This window comes from Homo sapiens, chromosome X (assembly GCF_000001405.40).
Source record: "Homo sapiens chromosome X, GRCh38.p14 Primary Assembly".
Lineage (NCBI taxonomy): Eukaryota > Metazoa > Chordata > Mammalia > Primates > Hominidae > Homo > Homo sapiens.
In genome coordinates, this window is record NC_000023.11 from 141,958,121 (window position 1) to 141,976,937 (window position 18,817).

Consider the following 18,817-nt stretch of genomic DNA (forward strand, 5'->3'; position numbering starts at 1 on the left):
GGCTGAGGTGGGCAGATCACGAGGACAGGACTTCGAGACCAGCCTGGCCAACATAGTGAAACCTTATCTCTACTAAAAATACAAAAATTAACCGGGTGCAGTAGCACGTGCCTGTAATCCCAGCTATTCGGGAAGCTGAGGCAGGAGAATTGCTTGCACCTAGGAGGCAGAGGTTGCAGTGAGCCGAGACCACACCATTGCACTCCAACTTGGGTGACAGAGTGAGACTCCATCTCAAAAAAAAAAAAAAAAAAAAAAAAAAAAAAGATAAATTACTACAGCTAGAGTGTGGCTGTAAGCAGAGAGAGAAGTGTCATGGTGATAGTAAATGACACAGGAAAATAGGCTGAGCTGAGAACAAGACAATGAATTGGCTTCTGATAGCATAACAGGTGCAAAAAAATGAGCCATGAAAAAGAATAAACCAACATTACTTGCTATACGGTCTGAAAGCAAACTTTTCAGGACTCAGCTTTCTGATTTATGGAGAGTTAATTGTGAATAAAACCCTCAAAATTAAAGTTCAACTTTTCATGCCCATATACTATCTATCTTTCTGTCTGTCTGTCTATCTATTATCTATCTATCTATCTCAAGCAAAAATACGAGGTTGCAGGATATAGTGGAAAGGAGTTTTTGAACTGACCCTGGTTCAGTTATTTACTAGCTCTTTGACGTAAAGCAAATTACTTTAGCTGAATCTGTTTCCTTATCTATAAAATGTGAGGGAAAATCCCTGTCCTGTCTGTTCCTTGGGGCTGTTATAAAGATCAAATGACATAGGTATGGTGGTATTATTTGAATTTCTAAAGTGCTAAACAAATAAATGACAGCCCTAAATGTTGAGAAATATCAGAAGTTATTTAACTTGCTAGTTTTCTCTGTTATATGGGACTGTGTCTTTCTTGTTGCTCTATAGTCTGACTACCTTGTGGAATGAAGCATTGTGCCAGGTGTTTTTAGGACCTGGTTGATTTAGACCCTTCTTTAGATGTTTCTTGTCTCCAATTTTCAGGAGCTTGCAGGACTATCAGAGTTTATATTCTAAAAATAACATCTTTGGCTTTGGTAGATTTTTCTAATGGAGTTCTGGAACTGTCATTCAGTATAAAATGTGTATAGCAAAACATGTTTACTCACAATAAGTAAATATTTTGGAGGACAGGGCTATTTAGATAATCTGGTTAGACCAGATCATTCACCTAAACTACTGTTTTTCTTATTTTGTGTGGTATAAGATGACACATAAAGCAGTTGATAGAGAAAAGATATAAGGATATTTTTAGGGACACTTTTTTTAGATCTTTCCCAAGCTGGTTAGTTTTTCCTTTCAACACAGACCTCACTGTTATTTTGGCATACCCTTGGCTAAGTATCTGAAAAATGATAGCTTTTAAATATATTGCTTTTCATTTCCTGTTCTATGTTTCAGAGGCACAAAATAACTTACATGCTTGAGATACAAACTATTTTTGGTAGACTTTATTTACTTGGTTTGGGCGTTGCTAAGTAAGGGCTGAATTTTTATATGTCCTGGGATAGACTGTTCTGGTCCATCTCCATTATATATGACATTAGCATGACTATACTAATGTCATGCTCTAAAACAGTAAACTCTTAGCCAGCTCTCCCATTACCCCCATGCACATCTCAGCTCTTTCACCACCTAAAAGCCAGAAATTCACACCATCTCTTTTTCAAGGCTACATTAAAGCATCTATGAGTTCCTAATCATCTGTCAACTTTACCTCTTTTCTCATCTCAAACCTTCAATTTCCACTTTTTTTCTAATTATTAACAACAAATATATTTGTGCACATTATTCCTTAGGTTACTGCGGCATCTATACTCATTCATCAATGTGCAGCTCAAATGTCATTTCTGATGTAAAGCCTTTCCCACCAGTAGAACCAGGAGATTTTCTTCTCTTATTCATTCTGACATATAAGTTTGAGTATGTTCTAATTAAATATTTTACATAAAGTTTTCTTGCACCTCACATGTTAGACTGTGGGAACTTTTAGGGTAGGGATTGTCTTATTCTGCTTTGAATCATTGGTACCTTTCACAGTACTCAATATAAGTTATTTGTATTGTAATTCCCTTTATCCATCAAGATCCTTATGAGAAGCAAAAACTTAAAGTTATGACCCAAAAAAGTATTTACTATCAGTCCTGTGAGGAAGAAAATGGAGTTTATATCTCCAAAAACATTTAGGTTGGTTTTAATTTTCAGAGAGAAGAAAGATTTCCTTTCAGAATTTTTGCCAGATCAGTGAAGAGCTAATTCTGTTCTAGGAGAAGGTATTTGCAGGTGTTATCTTTTTTAAAACTAAAGTCCAAAACTTAATCAAGTTTTCTTAGATTTTACCGAATGCCCTTTTTCAGTTTCAGAGTCTCATCAAGGATAGTACACTGCCATTAGTCATCTTGTCTCCTTAGGCTTCTCTTGCCTGTGACAGTCTCAGATATTCCTTGTTTTAGATGACCTTGACAATTTTGAAAAGTGCTGGTCAGGTGTTTTCTAGAATCTCCCTTAATTTGGATTTTTCTTATGTTTTCTACATGAGTTAGACTGGGGTTATGGGTTACTGGGAGGAAGACCACAGAGATAAAGTGCCATTTTCATGACGTCATATCAAGGGTACGCTATCAGCGTGACTCATAACTGTTGGTGTTGATCTTCACCAATTGAGTGAGGAAGTATTTGGCAGTTTTCTCCACTGTAAACTCACTCTTGTATTCCCTCTTTCCATACTATCCTCTTTGGAAGGAAGTCACCTTGGACAGCCTACACTTAAAGAGCGGTGAATCATTCTCCCTTTACTTGAGGGTAGAATATTTGCATAAATGGTTTGAAATTCTTCTACAAAGGAGATTTGTCTTTTTTCTTCCATTTATTTATTCAAATAGTTATTTATATCATTATGAACTCATGGATATTTAATTTACACTTTGCATTCTAATTCAATACTACTTTATTTATTTTCTTCCTCAAATTGTTTCAGTTTTGGCCATTGGCATCTCTTTAAATTGACTCCAATGTGTCTTTGATATGCCCCCTTCACTGCATTTTTTGTTTGTTTTGATTTCTTTTGCTTAGAATGTCCTTACTGTCAAACCCTACAAGATATTCCAGGCTTATCTTGTATATTTCCTAGCCCAGTCCTAAAATGAGCTATTTTCCAAGGAGCCCTGATGCCCTTTATTGGAGAATAGTATGGCACTATCTTTTCAGAAACAGTGGCATGATGATAATAGTGGAAAGCTTATGTGAAACAATTTGTGCTTAGATGAATTCTGATAAGTATATGCCACACAGTGTGACACTGGATAAGAATTGAGATTCTCATACAGCTCACCTGTAACACAAATAGCATAAAGAGATTCCTGCAGGTTCTAAAAGACTTTCTAGTTTCCCATTTTTTCATTCTTACACTAGTCATTTTGAATCCTTCACATTTGCAATGAAGCCACAGACAATTAAACTTTGAGATAAAATATGACAGAAAATGGTACTAACCTTATAAACAGACTACTTAGCAAAACAATCTCCCAAATAATAGTAATTATATGCTTTGCCATTTGCGTGGTGAGTATACTTACGTTGACTAAATAACTCTGTGTCAGTTATGATGCCAATTTTAGTTTTTAGATGTTGTAGCATTGTGCAAATTTTAGCTGAAAGGCAAAAATGATTATCTGAGCAATCTATTGCTCCATCTAGTATTTATAGTGCAATTAAAATGTTCACTGCTGCACTTATCAAAAGTAGCATAAATCTTATAAGACATTAATATATATGCTTTAAATAAATGTTACCGCTAATTATTCTAACATGACCTTTTCTATAAAGGTATCCATTGGGACATAAAACATATGAAGGACAAATGATTCCAAGACATTTTAGGGACACTGCTTTTTTTTCTTTTTTTCTTTTTGTCAAAATTCTCTCTGACTCATAAGGATTTCCTTCCAGCAATGTTATAAAGCAATATGATAATCAACAAATGAAGGTTAAGTACTCTTCCCACTTTCTTATGCTTAAAATAAAATTAGCCAGATGACCTTTTCACAGTTACATGAAATTACTATATTTTTATCTTTAGCCTAAAAGTATACAGCCAAAAGGAAAACAAATACTGTACTCTGTTTAATCAGATGTTGAACCAGTCCCCCAGTGCTATTTATTTTCCATCGTTTCTTTCAGCCTTTGTCATTTCTCATTAGTACAGTTGCAGAGAAATCTCGAGTGCTTTTTTGACCTCACATATGCTTTATTTTCCAATAAGGAAAGCCAATGGACCTTCTGTCTGGAACCTTTAACATATTGTCTGAAGCATTTCCTAAAATAAATATGTCAACCAAGTAGCAAAATAAATTCCAGTAATGTACAGTATCTCATATCCTGCAAAGTCACCGTGCAGACAGTGCTGCCAATCCTTTGCAGGAAGTGGGGTTAGAGTGGAGGAGTGCTTGACTTTCAGGAAACATTCTATGCAAAAGCAATTGGATCAGGGTCACCTACAAGAAAGTATGGTGATCATTTTCTAATACTTATAACCAGGAGTTAGAACATGTGACAATGGATCAGGCCACTAAAAATGATCATATTACTTGATATGGTTTGGCTCTATGTCCCCACCAAAATATCATCTCTAATTTTGTAACAATCCCCACATGTTGTGGGAGGGACCTGGTGGGAGGTAACTGAATCATGGGGTCAGGTTTTTCCCATGCTGTTCTTGTGATAGTGAATAAGTCCCATAAGATCTGATGGTTTTATAAAGGGGGTTCCTCTGCACATGCTCTCTTGCCTTCTGCCATGTAAGATGTGCCATCATCCTCCTTGATTTCTGCCATGATTGTAAGGCCTCCCAGCCATGTGGTACTGTGAATCCATTAAACCTGTTTCCTTTATAAATTTTCCAGTATTGAGTATGTCTTTTGTATTAGTCTATTCTCACACTGCGAATAAAGACATATCCGAGACTGGGTAATTTATAAAGGAAGGAGGTTTAATAGACTCACAGTTCCACAGGGCTGGGGAGGCCTCAGAGTTATGGAAGAAGACAAAGGAAGAGCAAAGGGACATCATACATGGTGGCAGGCAAGACATTGTGTGCAGGGGAACTCCCCTTTATAAAACAATCAGATCTTGTGAGACGTATTCACTATCATGAGAACAGCAGTGGAAAAACCTGCCTCTGTGATTAAGGTACCTCCTACTGGGTCCCTCCCACAACATGTGGGGATTATTGTAATAATCAGATGAGTCAAAGTCTCATCTGAGACAAAGCAAGTCCCTTCCACCTATGAGCGTGGAAAATCAAAAGCAAGTTAGTTACTTCCTAGATACCATAGGGGTACAGGCATTGGGTAAATACAGCCATTCCAAGTGGGAAAAATTGGCCAAAACAAAGGGGCTACAGGCCCCATGAAAGTTTGAAATCCAGTGGGGCAGTCAAATCTTAAATCTCCAAAATGATCTCCTTTGACTCCATGTCTCACATCCAGGTTGAATGGATGCAAGATGTGGGTTCCCATGGTCTTAGGCAGATCCACCCCTGTGGCTTTGCAGGGTACAGCCCCCCTCCTGGCTGCTTTCAAGGCTAGCATTGAGTGTCCGTAGCTTTTTGATGTGCACAGTGCAAGCTGTCAGTGTATCTGTCATTCTAGGGGCTGGAGGATGGTGACTCTCTTCTCACAGCTCCACTAGGCAGTGCCCTAGTGAGGGCTCTGTGTGGGGGCTTGCATCCCACATTTCCCTTCCACACTGCCCTAACAGAGGTTCTCTATGAGGGCACTGCCCCTGCAGCAAAATTCTGCCTGGAAGTCCAGGCATTTCCATACATCCTCTGAAATCTTGGCAGAGATTCTCAAACTTCAATTATTGACTTCTGTGCACCCACAGGCCCAACACCACATGTAAGGTCCCAAGGCTTGGGGCTTGCACCCTCTGAAGCAACAGCCTGAGCTGTACATTGACCCCTTTTAGCCACAGCTGGAGCGGAAATAGCTGGGATAGAGGGCATCATGTTTGGAGGCTGCAAAGAGCAGGGGCCCCCTGGGCTCAGCCCAGGAAACCATTTTTTCCTCCTAGGCCTCCAGGCCATGATGGGAGGAGCTGCAATGAAGACCTCTGACATGCCCTGGACATATTCTTCTCATTGTCTTGGTGATTAGCATTTGGCTTCCTGTTACTTATGCAAATTCCTGCAGCCTGCTCTAGTTTCTACCTAGGTAATGGGTTTTGCTTTTCTAATGCATCATCAGGCTACAAATTTTTCACACTTTTATGCTCTGCCACCTCTTGAATGCTTTGCCACTCAGAAATTTATTCTGCCAGATACCCCAAATCACCTCTCTCAGTTCAAATTTTCACAGATCTTTAGGGCAGGGGTAAAATGCCACCAGTCTCTTTGCATAGAAAGAGTGACCTTTACTCTAGTTCCCAATAATTTCCTTATCTGCATCTGAGAGCACCTTAGCCTGGATTTTATTGCTCCATATCACTATCAGCATTTTGGTCAAAGCCATTCAACAAGTCTCTAGGAAGTTTCAAACTTTCCCACATCTTCCTGTCTTCCGAACCCTCCAAGTCTCTAGGAGTTCCAAACTTTCGCACATTTTCCTATACTCTTCTGAGTCCACCAAACTGTTCTAACCTCTGCCTGTTACCCAGTTCCAAAGTTGCTTCCACATTTTCAGGTATCTGTACAGCAGCACCCCACTCTACTGGTACCAATTTACTGTATTAGTCTCTTCTCGTGCTGCTAATAAAGACATACCTAAGACTGGGTAATTTATAAATGGAAGAGGTTTAATAGACTCACAGTTCCACATGGCCAAGGGACCTCACAATCATGGGGGAAGGTGAGTGAAGAGCAAAGTCACTTCTTACATGGCGGCAGGCAAGAGAGCATGTGTAGGGAAGCTCCCCTTTATAAAACCATCAGATCTCATGAGACTTATTCACTACCACAAGAACAGCACAAAAAAGACCCACCTCCATAATTCAATTACCTCCCACCGGGTTCCTCCCATGACATGTGGCAATTATTGGAGCTGTAATTCAGGAGGAGATTTGGGTGGGGACACAGCCAAACCATATCATCTTTATTAGCTGTGTGAGAACAGATTAATGTAGTAAATTGGTACCAGGTAGTGAGGTGCTGTTTTAAAGATACCTGAAAATATGGAAGCAACTTTGGAACTGGGTAATAGGCCAAGGTTGGAACAGTTTGGAGGGCTCAGAAGAAGACAGGAAAATGTGGGAAGGTTTGGAACTTCCTAGAGACTTGTTGAATGTCTTTGACCAAAATGCTGATAGTGACATGGACAATAAAGTCCAGGCTGTGGTGGTCTCAGATGGAGATGAGGAACTTGTTGGAAACTGGAGCGAACGTGACTTTTTATGCTTTAGTGAAGAGACTGGTGGCATTTTGCCCCTGCCCTAGAAACCTATGGAACTTTGAACTTGAGTGAGATGATTTAGGGTATCTGGAAGAAGAAATTCCTAAGCAGCAAAGCATTCAAGAGGAAGTAGAGCATAAAGTTTGGAAAATTTACAGCCTGATGATGCAATAGAAAAGAAAAACCCATTTTCTTGAGAGAAATTCAAGCCTGCTGCAGAAATTTGTGCAAGTAATAAGGAACTGAATGTTAATCACCAAGACAATGGGGAAAATATTTTCAAAGAATGTCAGAGACATTCATTGCAGCCTCTTCCATCACAGGCCCAGAGGACTATGAGGGAAAAATGGTTTCATGGGCTGGGCTCAGGGCCTCACTGATATATGCAGCCTCTGAACATGGTGCCCTGCATCCCAGCTTCTTCAGCTTTAGCTATGGCTAACAGGGATTAACGTATACCTCAGGCTATTGCTTCAGTAGATGCAAGCCCCAAGCCTTGGCATCTTACATGTGGTGTTGGGCCTGTGGGTACACAGAAGTCAAGAATTGAGGTTTGGGAACCTCCGCCTGGATTTCAGAGGATGTATGGAAATGCCTGGATCTCCAGGCAGAAGTTTCCTGCAGGTGCAGTGCCTTCACGGAGAACCTCTACCAGGGCAGCGTGGAAAGAGGAGTATGGGGTGCAAGCCTCCACACAGAGTTTCCAATTGGGCACTGCCTACAGGAGTTGTGAGAAAAGGGCCACTATCCTCCAGACCCCAGAATGACAGATCCACTGATAACTTGCATCATGCACCTGGAAAAGCTGCAGACACTCAACGCTAGCCTTGAAAGCAGCCAGGAAGGCAGCTGTATCCTGCAAGTCAAAGGGGCAGATCTGCCCAAGCCTGTGGAAAGCCATCTCTTGCATTAGTGTGACCTGGATGTGAGAGATGTAGTTAAAGGAAATCATTCTGGAACTTTAAGTTTTAATGACTGCCCTATTAGATTTTGCACTTGCGTGGGGCCTATAGCCCCTTCCTTTTGGCTAATTTCTCCCATTTGGAACAGCTGTATTTACCCAATGGCTGTACACCCATTGTATCTAAGAGGTAAGTAACTTGCCTTTGATTTTACAGGCTCATAGGCAGAAGGGTCTTGCCTTGTCTCAGATGAGACTTTGGACTGTGGACTTTTGGGGTTAATGCTGAAATGAGTTAAGACTTTGAGGGACTGTTGAGAAGGCATGATTAGTTTTGAAATGTGAGGACATGAGAGTTGGGAGTGGCCAGGGGTGGAATGGTGTGGTTTGGCTCTGTGTCCCCACCTAAATCTCACCTCTAATTGTAATAATCTCCATATCTTGTGGGAGGGACCCAGTGAGAGGTAATTGAATCATGGAGGTGGATTTTTCCCATGCTGTTCTCGTTAAAGTGAATAAGTCTCACAAGATCTGATGGTTTTATAAAGGGGAGTTCCCCTGCACATGCTCTCCTGTCTGCTGCCATGTAAGATGTACCTTTCTCCTCCTTGCCTTCCACAATAATTGTGAGGCCTCCCAAGCCATGTGGAACTGTGAGTCAATTAAACCTCTTTCCTTTATAAATTACCCAGTTCTAGGTATGTGTTTAATAGCAGCATGAGAATAGACTAATACATTACTGGAGCAGAGGCAGGGTGTCAGAGTGTTGAGGATGTAATTTCAGCACAGGGTATGAACGTGTCTGTATAAATGCTATCAATTGTCATGTGTGTGTGTTCATTTTTAGAATGCTAGTAAATTATAGATATTGAAAATCTGGCTTTAGAAATGAGCTCTTGGTAGATCTAAATTTTACCACTTCTTGTATATGATAATTTAAGCCACATTACTATGTTGAGAAAGACTTCACCAGATCACTGTTCTTTTACATAAATGTGTGTGTGTGTGGTGTCTTGAACAAAATGAACAAAATACACAAGATACTCTGTCCATTTATTTTGTACCTAACAACCTTAGTAATTAAATGCAAGTCAACTGCTTTAAGTCAATTATTTAACCCTTTTGCCAATTCTATTAAAGGAATGCTGATTGAGCATATACTGTGTGCTTCAACTTCTCCTGAATTGTGTAGAGATCAGATACAATATGATCTACACATTTGAGAGTCTGCAATTTAGTTAATATTGAATATATATGTCCATAAAAATACCATATGGGATATGACTTCTAAGTTCTTCCATATATGTTTGAAAATATGAAGATTTCACAGTGGAATGACATAGCCATTATGTTATCATACAATAGATAATTTTATAGGAAGGGTGATACCTGATGACAAAAAAAGTTGTTTGTCAATATTAATAGTTTTTACAAGCTTGTGCAGATGGATATTAGCATGGCATTTAGGGGGAAACTAGGTCAAAGTGGGATCATTGGAAAGATAATTATTTAAGCAGTTGGGCCATGGAGAGTTCCTATTTGAAGTTTTAGTCAGTGAAGAGGCACTGCATATATATATATATATATGTGTGTGTGTATATATATATATATATATATATATATATATATATATATATGTTTTTTTTTTTTTTTAGATTGAGTCTCACTCTGTTGCCCAGGCTGGAGTGCAGTGGCACAATCTCAGCTCACTGCAACCAACCTCCACACCCTGGTTTCAAGCGATTCTCCTGCCTCAGCCTCCCCCTGCGTAGCTGAGATTACAGGTGTCCACCACCACGTCTGGCTAATTTTTGTATTTTTAGTAGATATGCGGTTTCACCATGTTGGCCAGGCTAGTTTTGAACCCCTGACCTCAAGTGATCTGCCCGCCTCGGCCTCTGCACCCGGCAGGAGCCGCTGAAATGTTTGAAAGTCAGTAAGTACAGTTTAGTGTTTGCTTCTCAGCCATACAGTCTGGGTAAAAATCCTGACTCGTTCACTAGCTTTGTAACTGCAAATTGTTTAATTTTTCTGAACCTCAGATGTGTCTTTAGAATGAAAATATAATAGTTATTACTTCACCGGACTGTGTGAAAATCAATGGAAGTAACACATATTTATCTCTTACCATGCTGTCTGGGATGGATTAAATGCTCCATAATTGGTAGCTGTTGTTATTATTAATAGCATGAGCCTAGCAGTTAGAAGAAGAATTTCAGAGCAGCGTAACTAAAGGATGCAAAGTTACTTTCAGGCTTAGTGTAGTGATCCAAACTGTATTAATGTACAATAAAATATAAATGTGAAATAGGTTAAGCCTATTGATTATCAAAACCTATTGCAAATGCTTTTTTGTAGGGAGAATAGAGCAAAGCTGTGCTTTCAGTACAACTCATAGGTTATTTTTGGATTTGAATAATTTTTGTATAATGTTCTGGATTACCGTAATGTAAATTGTGTACTGTTTTAGGGGATAAAAGTGCATATTGAATATCAGGTCATAAAAATGTTATTCAGATCTGTCTCATAAAACTATGAAATCTTCAGAGCCAGGGATTTGTACAGCACCGAGGACAAGGCCACTGAGAGGAATGCAAAGATACATGTGGGCAGGGAACTGCCGTAGTGACAATGTTCCCAGACCCCGACATGGTGTCTGACTTAAAGTAAGTACTCCATTAATGTTTCTTTGTGGTAGTGCCTTACTTTTATTTTCTAAAGGAATCCATGCGTATTGTTGAGATAACAAAGTGGTACCAACAGACATAACAACATATAGCAGTCCCTTGTCACAGCCCTCTTCAATCTAAGCCACATACCTCAGAGACTTTTGACTCTTTCTTCTGGTATGTACTTCTAGTTTTTGTAAAGAATAAGCATGTGCTGATATTTCTGGAATTATCAATCATTATTTTTATTTTATTTTATTATTTTTTTATATTTTTAATTTTGGTGGGTACATGGTAGGTGTATATATTTACAGGATACATGAGATGTTCTGATACTACTGGCAAGAATGTGGACAAAAGGGAACCTTTGTACACTGTTGATAGAAATATAAATTATTTTTATTTTTATATAAATTGACAATTTGAAATTTTGTATATATGGGGTACAAAGCAATGTGATGACTTATGAATACAATAGGAAATAAGCCAAGCTAATTAGCATATCCGACACATCACATCTTTTTTTTGTGATGAGAACATTTGAAATGTACTCTCTTAGCTTGAAATGCACAATACACTGTTATGAACTGTATTCACCACATTATGCAATAGATCCTAAAAACCTTAATTCCTTAAGTCTGAGGCTTTGCACCTTTTGACCAATATCTCCCTATTCTCCCCACTCCCCAGCCTCTGTAACCAGCATTATATTCTCTGCTTCTACTGGTTTCATTGTTTTAGATTCTACATATAAATGAGATAATGTAGTAATTGTCTCTCTGTGCCTGGCTTCTTTCATTTAGCATAATGTTCTTGAATTCCATCCATGTTGTCACAAATGACAGAATTTTCTTCACTTGTAAGGCTGAATAGTACTCTATTGTGTATATGTACCACATGTTCTTTATCCATTCTTTTGTTGAAAGACACTTAGGTTGATTTCAATTCTTCACCATTTGAGTAGTGCTGCAATGAATATTCCAGAATGTGCAGACATCTCTTAGACAAATTAATCTTTCTGGCAAATACCCAAACACAGGATTACTAGATCATATGAAAATTATATTATTAAACTTTAAAAACCTCTTCGCTGTTTCTCTAGTGACTGTACTAATTTACATTCTTACCATCCGTTTACAAGGGTTCAGTTATTGGCATAATCTGTACAATTCTTTATGTTACAACCTCCACTCCTCACCTTTATCTTCCCAAAATACTTATGTCAAAATTTTTGGTTAAAGTAGCAGTGAATTATTACATTTTTACCATGTAAATATTACTCACTGCTGAACTATGAAGTGTACAATTATTTTATTCCTTTTCATGTATCATTTTGTGTTGTCTGGTATGGAATATGCCTGATTTTTTTTTACTAGCTTAATTTTCCATGTACCTTTACCTAATTTTCCAAAATCCCAAACATTACCGTAGCATTCTGCTCAAAATTGTATTCAAATTCATGAATAGTTTGTCACTCTATCAGTTCTTCTTTTCTACTTTTTAGGAATTCTTCCTCACAACTCAAGCTCACCATCTCTTGGGCTTCAGTCTGTATTAGTTGCTCCCTAAACCTGCAACCAAACTGTTATTCTGACACTTCCCTTCACCACCACCTGGGACTTCTCTCATCTCACTCTTAGGTTGGATGGCCTCTTGCCTAGATCTCATGTGTTCCTATTGCCTAGTTTATTATCTTGTTAGGGTTAAGCCATATGCTCAGTGGAAGTGGGGAAGGTGAATTTCTAGAGATTTTGCAGCTCTAAAAATCTCTTAATTTATAGGTTGACTGAGCATGAAATTCTACTTCAGAGTCTTTCTCCCCACTTCCAGGTTTCAGTAGTACAGTTGCAAGTTCTGATGATGTTCAGATTTCTGGTTCTTATTACATTTTTTGACCATCTATCCCATCCCTAGAAGGCTTTAAAAATATTTTTCATTATGGCTGTATGGTAGGCTGAATAATGCTCTCTAAAAGTTGCCCACATCCTGATTCCTGAATCATGTAACTGTTATCATATTAAATATATGATAAAAGGGACTTGCAGAGGTGATTTAATTAAGGATATTGAGATGGGGAGATTATTCTAGATTATCTAGGAGGGTCCAATATAATCACAAGGATCCTTATAAGAGGTAATTAGAGGGATTTTTAATTTAGCTTAATTTCTTTTTTATTTTTCATTTTTATAGAGATAGGGTCTTACTATTTTGTCCAGGCTTATCTTGATGATTTTGAACTCCTGGCCTCAAGTGACTCTCCCACCTTGGCCTCCCAAAGTGCTGGGATTCCAGTTTTGAGCTGCCACACCCAGTCAAAGAGATGTGCCTAGAGAAATAGGAGATGTGATTACAGAAGCAAGAAGTTGGAGTTAAGGAAGAAAAGGGTCATGAGGGAAGGAATGTAAACAGCATCCAGAAGCTAGAAAAGCTACGGAAACAAATTTTCTCTGAGAGACTCCAGAAGGTAAAAGTCCTGCCAATATCTTGAACTTAGCCCAGTGTAACCGATTTCAATTGCTTCCCAGCAGAGATATGAGAGAATAATTTTTTTTTGTTTTAAGCCATCAGGTTTGTGACACTTTGTTACAATTAAAGTAGGAAACTAATAGAAGTGGTGATCTAAAATTCCTCAATGTGCCTATCTATAAGCCTTTTGGATTTATTACATTGGCCACTTTCAATCTGAAAAGGCAAGCCCTTCAGTTCTAGGAAATACTCTCAATTATATATGTTTGACAGTTTCCACTCCTCCGTTTTCTTTCACCTCTCTAGACTTATTAGGAAGATATTGTGGCTCACAAATTGATCCTTTAATTTTTTAATCTTTTCTCTCCTGTTACCCAGGCTTATATTTTTACCCTACTTTTTGGCAAAAAATTTGAACTTTATTGTCTTATATTTCGAAGAAATTTTCAATTTATATATATAATATATATTAAATAAAAAATAAATAGTATAATAATAAATTAAATAATATATATTAAATACACACATTGACATACATGCAAATACACACAAGCACACACATTCCTAAGAGTTATTTCTTGTTCTCTGATCACTTTTTATATCATCCTGTTCTAGTTTCATGAATGATTTATACAATATCTTCTACTCTTTCTTCGAGAATAGCATTAATAGGTTGCTTTTTTACCTTTGAAATGTTCTGTTTTGAAGTCCTTTTCTTTGTCTCTTTCATGTGAGATAATTTCATTTCATTTTATACTTAAAATAATTATTAAAACATGAATTGGGAGTTCTGTGGGCATGGGCAAGCTTTGTCGAATGGTGTTTTTCATTCTAGGATGATCGTGTGTGAACTTTGCTCTTTATTTAAAGGGTACCCCCAAGTCAGTATGTATAGTAATCCTGTCCAAGGGAAGGGTGTGTGAGTTGAAGAGTAGAACAGGATATGTGAGGAGCTTAACTCTGCTGTACACAAAATTTCATACAATTCTCCTACTTTCAGCCCTGTTCCTTATACCACCTTCTGCTATAGGTGTTGCCATGAAATCTGAGCTTCTCGGGGTTCTGCAGTCAAATTGACTGACTTCTTGCTGCTGCTCTTTCTTGTCTGCAGATATTTCAATTTCAGCTCCCTGGTCTTTACTAAATCACTAACCACTTTGCTACCAATCTTTAAAATGCAGTGCCATCTTTATCTGTTGTCTCCTTTACCATGTTCTTTGTCTTTGTGGATTTGTACCATTTCCATTTGTGTGTACCATAACTTTAGTGAGATTTCAAGGAGCAGAAACAAACACAAGAGCTCAGTCTGCTATGACTAAATGAATGTTGTACAATGAATATTTGATGAGTAAATGAATAGCATACCAATAAATGGTGACATGATTAAATATTATGAAGCTATACAGCTGATAATTGACTATGGTTCATAATGTCCTTCATGCATATTAAGTTTTTATTTCTTAAACAGTAGAAGACAGTTAATGGTATCAAGGAAACATTACATGTCATTATGTAATTGCAAATTGTTCCTTCAGAGAAAATTTCAGTCCCACACATTTGCTGGTGAAGCAAAGTTAATAAAATATATTTATTACTCTTACTTTTTATTCAAATAGAAACCTTAGAAGGTAGATATTAGTAACCCCATTTTAGAGACAAGTAAACAGAATCCAAGAGTTAGAGCAATCTGTTAAATGTTACATGTGAAGGCAGGGGCAGGCCTAGACATTGAAACCAAGTATTCTTTCTGACTCTTGGCTAATTATTTTTTCCTCTCATTACACCCTGAAGACCCCTCAGAAGAACATATCTGGCTGCAACTACTTTATCTGCATGATTGTTAGCATTCCCCAAAAGAAATAAGAAATGTATTAATAAGCCAGAATAGTGTAAAGATTGGAGACAATTTTATTAATTTGAAGGAAAAGTTTAATGATTTTTCAGTTTTATCTAATACAAATTGGCTGACAATTATAATTTTTATTAAAATAGTAATATATTTGCAATTATGCTTTGCCACACTGCTTCATCTATTCTTATAACAATTAATATTAAAAGACATTTTCCTTCAAAAGGAAGGTATAAATGTTGTACCGCAATTGCCGCATTATTCTGTGATTAAAATGAAATATGTATTCAGGCAAAATCATACAATATTTAGTGGTTCCAATAAGAGCTATTTGGATCAAACTAGTTAGTAATATGCTATTTAAGCATCTTTTCTCTCTATATTTTTCATGGATTTTCTCCTGGTTATTAATATCATTTGAGAACTATTATTTTAATTTCATCATATGATAATATACGGCTTTAAAATAGAAAGTGATGTGGCATGCTCTGAATATTAGGCTTACTTCATTTGCATAATGAGCTGAGTGTCCCAAGGCTGGTAACTATAGTCATTTACTTAGCTTGCTACTCAAAACTTTCTAGACAAATATGATAGAGGTGCAGAAGGGAGAGAAGATTATGATATGAAAGCACAATACGGTACATTCTTTGGGATCTGAGAAATGTTTGTAGTTATTAAAAGATGTCTCCCAGAGTCATGGAACAAAGCAAAAATGTAGTTTTAGCATGTAAGAAAGAGGATGAAATTGAATTAATATCACTATAGCTTAATCAATTTTTTAATTTATAAACTTCTTTATTCCTGCTGTGACTTACTTCAGTCATTGGCTTATTTTATTCACTCATTCATTTAACAAATATTTCTTGAGCATTTGTTACGTGCTAGGCAGCATAATAGGAATTGGGGATATGGTGCTGTAAAATGGACATGGACTCTGTCTTCATGAATATCACATTATAGTAGGAAGACTCATGAGAAACAAGTAAATTATTTAAAAATATAATCTCAGAGGATGTTAAACTCTATGATAGTAATAAATCAGAGTAAGACAATATAGTGTACTACCGGAGGGAGGAGCTATTAGGATGATCTGGGAAGATATATGAGGCAATGAATGACATTTGAGCAGAACTGAATGATGAGAAGTTATCAATCGTGAAAATCTTGGAGAAGAGCTATCCATGAAGGAAGACTGTGTACAAAGGCCCTAAGGTAGGAATGAACTTGTTATGTATGGAGAACAGCAAGAAAGCCATGGTGGCTAGAGTGGAGTGAGTGAGGGGTATAGTAGGAGATGATGTCAGATTAGGGAGTCAGGGGCCAGACTGTGTGGGGACTTGTAGGTCATAGTTAGGGCTTGGAATTTTCTTCTATGGTGTTAGAGGACTTTGAGCAAAGAAATGGATTGCTATGACTGTTTGAAATGGTAATTTTGATATCTGTGTTAAGAGAGGAAAATATAAGTATGGAGATAAGTTAGGTAGCTTCTGTAGTATTTCAAGTAAGAGACGAAGATGGTTCAGACCAGGGTAATAGTGATGCACGTGGTGAGAAAAGGGCAGATTAGTAATAAAGTTGAAGGTAGAACTGACAAAATCTCCTATTATTTGTTTGCTTTAGGGTTTGGGGGCACACAGGAAAGGAGGCAGTATGTGATGATTAAGAACGCAGTAAATAAAACTGATTTATTTTCTATGTTTAATCTAGTTGCTGGGTGAGTATTTGAAAGAAGTGCAGAAAACTTATTTGTACTTTATCAAGTCATTAAATAGGGCTCTCATAATCTTATAGATAAGATAAAGATATGCAATCTGAGTGCTTATACAATTGGCTACTTACTGGAAAATAACTGGAAAGTTACTGGAACATAACTGATAGAAAATACAATGACACCATGGGGCAAGGTTTTTAGTAGCATGATGTAGGACATTGATCTTGGTTTGGTTGTGGTTATTGACGTTATCAATGACTTGAATGAAGATACAGAAATAACATTGCTGGTTTTTATGGGTGACAGGTAAAGCAGGATTACACTAGAAGACAAAATCTATGGTTTTTCTTTTGATTAAGAGTTTTATACTGAATTATGTAGCTACATGTAGCTATGCCGTCCTTTATGCATTCTTGGTCTTCTGTGTTGTGTTTAAAAAGTTCATCAGTAGGCCGGGAGCGGTGGCTCACACCTGTAATCCCAGCACTTTGGGAGGCCGAGGCAGGCGGATCACGAGGTCAGGAGATCAAGACCATCCTGGCTAACATGGTGAAACCCCGTCTCTACTAAAAATACATAAAAATTAGCCAGGCATGGTGGCGGGCGCCTGTAGTCCCAGCTACTTGGGAGGCTGAGGCAGGAGAATGGTATGAACCTGGGAGGTGAGGCTTGCAGTGAGCTGAGATCGCGCCACTGCACTCCAGCCTGGGTGACAGAGCGAGACTCCATCTCAAAAAAAAAATTAAATAAATAAATAAAAATAAATAAAAAGTTCGTATTTTAAAACCACACATTGTTTTCTAGCATTTTATTAGTTGTATGCTAGTATAAGTAGTGAGGTAAGAATTCGTTTTATTTGCTTCTTAAATTATTAGTCACTTCTACCAACACCACTTAGTAAGAAATTCCTTTCCCTCTCTGATTTAAAATGCCACTTTCAACATAATCTAAATTCCTATATATATAGTGAATCAAGTTACATATATGTCTCAATGATTTATGCTGCACTATTGCTCTGCCTATTCTTGTGTGTGCACTCATTATTTTAAATTTTTATTTGTATATCACAATTTTATTTTTTTCTATTTTTAATTTTTATTTTTTATTTCAGTAGGTTTTTGGGGAACAGGCGGTGTTTGGTTACATGAACAAATTCTTTACTGGTGATTCCTGAGATTTTGGTGCACCCATCACTCTAGCAGTATACACTCTACCCAATGTTTAGTCTTATCCCTCATCCCGCTCCCACCCTTTCCCCTGAGTCCCCCAAGTCCACTGTATCATTCTTATGCCTTTGCATCCTCATAGCTTAGCTCCCACATATAAGAGAGAACATACAATGTTTTTTTTTTATCCAATTCCTGAGTTACTTTACTTAGAATAATAGCCTCCAATTCCATCCAGGAATGCTGTGAAAGCTATTACATTGTTCCTTTTTATGGCTGAGTAGCATTCGATGGTATATACATATACCACACATTCTTTATCTACTTGTTGATTGATGGGAATTTGGGCTGGTTCCATATTTTTGCAATTGTGAATTCTGCTGCTATAAACATGCATGTGCAAGTATATTTTTTGTATACTGGCTTCTTTTCCTCTGGATAAATACCCAGTAGTGGGATTGCTGGATCAAATGGTAGATCTACTTTTAGTTATTTAACGAATCTCCACACTGTTTTCCATAGTGGTTGTATTACCAGCAGTGTAAAAGTGTTCTTTTTTTTTTTTTTTTTCTCCACAACCACACCAACATCTATTATTTTTTGATCTTTTGATTAGGGCTATTCTTGCAGGAATAA